The 4,524-nt window shown below is 42.5% G+C and overlaps 2 annotated features.

The window, feature by feature from the left end:
- Window positions 1,484-1,983: an enhancer, noted in NCBI's record as "H3K4me1 hESC enhancer chr4:45285565-45286064 (GRCh37/hg19 assembly coordinates)". NCBI's record gives its function as "activates a minimal SCP1, AML or CMV promoter by ChIP-STARR-seq in naive H9 embryonic stem cells {active_cell/tissue: H9 hESC(naive)}" and the evidence as "EXISTENCE:reporter gene assay evidence [ECO:0000049][PMID:30033119]".
- Window positions 1,984-2,485: an enhancer, noted in NCBI's record as "H3K4me1 hESC enhancer chr4:45285063-45285564 (GRCh37/hg19 assembly coordinates)". NCBI's record gives its function as "activates a minimal SCP1, AML or CMV promoter by ChIP-STARR-seq in naive H9 embryonic stem cells {active_cell/tissue: H9 hESC(naive)}" and the evidence as "EXISTENCE:reporter gene assay evidence [ECO:0000049][PMID:30033119]".

Here is a 4,524-nt window from a genome sequence, read left to right as displayed (position 1 = left end):
CTATGATGGTCAACCAGGATGTGCCCTGTTGGGCTAAAAAAAATGAACAGCAGGGCAATAACTCACTCTGATCACACCAGGTACCCAGAGGAATGAATCACTAGAGGACATCACTTTGTAAGTAGGTACTTATGACCAGACCTCCCTGTAAAGTTAATAGTGTTAATTAGAAGTGTACCAGGAAATCTCTAACTATAAAATAGTTTTAGCCAGATGTACGCAGTCTTTCTAGATTGCTTAGCGCATTTCAAAGAGGAATGTATGCATTTATGGAACATGGCTGGCTGGAAAATGTGTGGGGGAGTGTTACATAACCATTTTCCTACCTATGTAATTAGGAGATTATAAAAGAGCTACGAAACAAAAATGGCTTTGCTTATGAACAGTACTTTTACATGTATTGCTTGAAACTTCTCCTTTAACCTGAAACCAAAACATTGACTAATGAGGCAGAAGAAAAGAGAATCTTGGAAGGTACATCTGACAGTTTGAAGCTTCTTCAGGAATGGATTGTTTAGTTTGTTTCTGGTGATGGTAAAAGCAGCCTATCTGGAGCAGCTGCTGTGAAGACGCTGGCGGCAGCAGAGGAGGCATGGCTGGGGCTGAGCGCTCCATGGAACTAGCAGGAGCTGGGAACAGGCAGGAACCCTACCCGCTGCTGAGTTGGCGCAGCTGTGGACTTGGGCATCCCTGCACTTATGGGGGCCCAGGAAGTCCCCCTGCCCCTGCAGGCTTGGGAATGCCTGCTTTTGCTACCTGGCCTCTCCTGGGCTCTCCTGGCCTTTTCTGGCCCCCGGCACCTGCTCCAATTTCAGAGCAAAGTTGAAACCGAGCCTGGGCACTGTTGTGAACCGGCTGGGTGTGCATGCACTTGGGGCAGCACTGACACGCCAGCCCCCTGCTGCCTCAGCGCCCTCTGGACTTTGGGTGTCTATGAGCACGAGAGGGAGGCTGATGGGAGCTGCTGAGGGCAGCTGGTTACGGGCCTGCAGGAGCCCCTCAGCACGAACAGCCTGGATGCCATAGATTATATGTAGATGGTGGCAGGGGGCAGACAGGCTCCTGGGTGGAAAAGGGTTAGTTCCTGGTGATGCCCCACCTTCCAGCCAGGGATGGGCCGAAGCATGAGGGCTGGGTTGTCAGTTCCAGGTAGAGTCTCGTGGCCTAGAATGAGAACTTATGCTTTATCCTGGCCCTGCCATGGCTGTCCATGGATGAATCAGCAGGTACTTCCTCTCTTCTAAACCCCAGAAAAACCCCAGACTCAGACAGACTCACAGAGATGTTGGGATGACCTTCCTGTGGATAGGAGCTACTCACTCCAGGTGTCCTCTCCACTGAAGGCTGCAGACTCAATGGGACAACCTGCCTGCAGATAAGAGCTGCCCACTCTGTGTCTCCTCTCTGCTGAGGGCTGTACAGATGTCAGGAAGTCTTGCCTCTGGGTAGAAGCTACCCACTCCAGGTCTCCTCTCTGCCGAGCGCTGAACTCCTTGGGACGACCTGTCTGTGGAAAGGAGCTACCCACTTCAGGTCCCCTGAGAACTGTACTGTCACTCATAAAGCACCTTTTCACCTTGCTCACCCTCCAGTTGTCTGTGTCACCTCATTCTTCCTGGACATAGAACAAGATCCTGGGACTTGCAGAATGGCAAGGTTGGAAGAGCTGTAACGCAAACGGCTGAAACATGCCCCCTCTTCCCTGCTCTCCATGTTGCAGGTGGCAAGGAAAGAAGAGTCATGTGGCCTTTCCAGGATCCCAGACCTAGGGGCTCCCTGACCCAGGGCTGTGACATCTTCTGTGGGGCTCCGTGATTTCTGACATCTCCAAGCTTCTGGGTGCCACTGTGTTCCCCTCATCCAGACATGGGTGCCCACAGCAGGAGCTACTTGTGGTGCATCTGATCCAGCCACAGGCTTGCATGGAGCCAGCACCTGTGCTGGTGCCTGGAGCTTCCTGCCCCACCACAGCAGCCAGTGTGCCTGGGTGTGCACAATGGCTGGACCCCACACTCGCTTGCTCACACAACCGTCACCACTCCATGCCCTGCTCGCCCTCAGGAGGCTTGGGATCTGGGCTGGTAGCACAAGTCACGTGCAGCTTGCCGGGTTGAGCGGGTGGAATGAGCCCAGTGGGCCCAAGCAAAACTTGGGCAAAGGTGCCACTGGCCACAGAGGCTTCTGGCTAAAAAGTGATACCCTAAGGATACTGTGACACTGGTGCCTACCTTCACTGTTTAAATCATTATTAAAGTTTGGAGCTGAAAGCGATCTGTCACTGGTGTCTGCTTTGACATTTAAAGATTTGTGGTAGAAAGATTAGTGGCAGCTGTGGGATTACCTTTTAGACCCATAAATTGTAATGTCTAAGGCATTATTTGGCAAGAAAAGGAATGAGTTTGGAAATAATGTGAATTTCATGTTGGGATGGTTCGCTAAGCATCCTTGGTGTTAATGGAACTTATTGTTTGCTATACACTGGGAATGCAGTGGTGGAAAAGATGGACATAATTTTCTTATTAGTTTCATCTTCATAGTCATTATAACAATTTCCATAACTTAGTGATGAAAAACAACACAGATTTATTGTTTTACAATTCTGAAGGTAAGAAGTCTGAAATAGGTCTTACTGGGTTAAAGTCAAGGTGTCAGCAGAGGGCAAGATTATGTTCATTTCTGAAGGCTGTAGCAGCAATCACATTTTTTTTTTTTTTTTTTTTTTGCCTTTTCTGCTTTCTAGAGGCTACCCACGTTCCTTGGTTCATGCCCCTCTTTAATCTTGAAAGTCTGGGATGGCTAGTTGAGTCTTTCTCACATTTAATCACTCTGACACTGACTCCTCCTTGACCTCTTCAATTTACATTTAAGGACCCTAGCTGGGTAGCATGCTCCTGTAATCCCAGGAGTTCAAAGCTGCAGTGAGCTATGATTGCATTACTGTGCTCTAGCCTGTGTGACACCGTGAGACTCTATCTAAAAAATAAAGAAAAGTATGTTTGTGATTACATTGGGGCCACCCATATGGTATAGAATAATTTTCCTATTTTAAGGTCAATTAGATTAGAATTAGAATTGTGTGATTAGTGATTAGAAACTTTAACTGCATCTGCAACTTCAATTCCCATTTGTAATGTAACATAATATATTCACATATGAATTAGAAGATTTTTCTTGGTTATTCATAAAGCCTGAAGATACCCAGATTTTATATTAATCTTTTTGACTCTGATGGCCTTGCTCTATTTATTTTTCATTTAAAAGCTGCAGAAATGTTTGTGTTGTTCTAAACAATATATTATAATAATCTTAATTTCAGTGATAGCCCATAGATTATCATTTGGATGTCTTGAACTTTGTGTCTTACCAGCAACACCATAGTACAAAGTAATGTCTGTATAGCACAGGCAATGTAAGTCAGGATGGCATTATTTGCTTTTATTTTACAAAAGGGAAAATAATAAAGGCATGAAAAACTATTTGGTTATTCCACCAGGCATGGCTAGGAGCACTGGAACTAAAAAACATAGTTTTCTGCTTTTAAAACCTTTGCATTCTAATCTATCTTCAGATGTTTTACGGTATATTTTTTAAATATAAGTTTCCATTTATCTGTACGGGGTCACTAAAAGATGGCTAATCTATAGCTACTAAGGACATCCATAGGTACTTTCACATTTTTTCTCAAAGGATGTCTCATTCAAGTAAAATTTCCAGACCTACCCATATAGAACTAGTCTTTCTCTAAAGCACCATGTTTTATCTTATATGAGTATATCTGATTCATGTTGATTTTATTTCCAAGGTTTAACTTTTCTTATAACTTTATAAATCATGTACAGTTCTATATACCCACCATAACCAATTATTTACAATAACAATAATACTAAAGAACTTGAGTATTTATAAGTTTTAATAATAACTTCTAAATTCTTACCTTTCTTGTTTAAGTGGCATAGCCTTGCTCAATTTGACAAATCAGTAGAGTTGAGAAGACTTATTTTTATTTTTATTTAGCTTAAAATTCAGAAAGTCAAGACAAACTTAACTAATTTTTGCTATTGTCACCTACTTTTTTCTGAAAAAAGAAGTTGCCATATTCTGTGCCTTTCACCAAAAAGACCAGGAATACACACATTTAAAGCTAAAAAAAAAAAAAAAGAAAAAAAAAGAATAATATAAGCAATTATGCTTCCTGTACCATGCTTGTGTCTTTTCTATAACTCATGTCTTTGGTGATTATTTAGGATAGTAATGAAATTGGGATACTACAGTTTAACTTAACATCATGTAAGGCACTGACTAAAATATTGATAATGCAAAACCTAAATAATTTTCAACAAAACAGTAGTCGTTTACTACCCAAAAGGGAATAATTTGTGTGCTAAATTGTTTTTGAGATTCTTGAAACTAGGCATACCTTAAAGCTCATTTCTAATTGTCACTAATATTGATTTAATCAGAACTTTGCTTTCATACTAAATATTATTTCTTGAATGAAAGATTGCACATAAAACTATTCAGGTG

Source organism: Homo sapiens, chromosome 4 (genome assembly GCF_000001405.40).
Source record: "Homo sapiens chromosome 4, GRCh38.p14 Primary Assembly".
NCBI classification, from domain to species: Eukaryota; Metazoa; Chordata; class Mammalia; order Primates; family Hominidae; genus Homo; species Homo sapiens.
The sequence above is the reverse complement of the archived record's forward strand: the minus strand, read 5'-3'. Positions and strand labels throughout refer to the sequence as shown.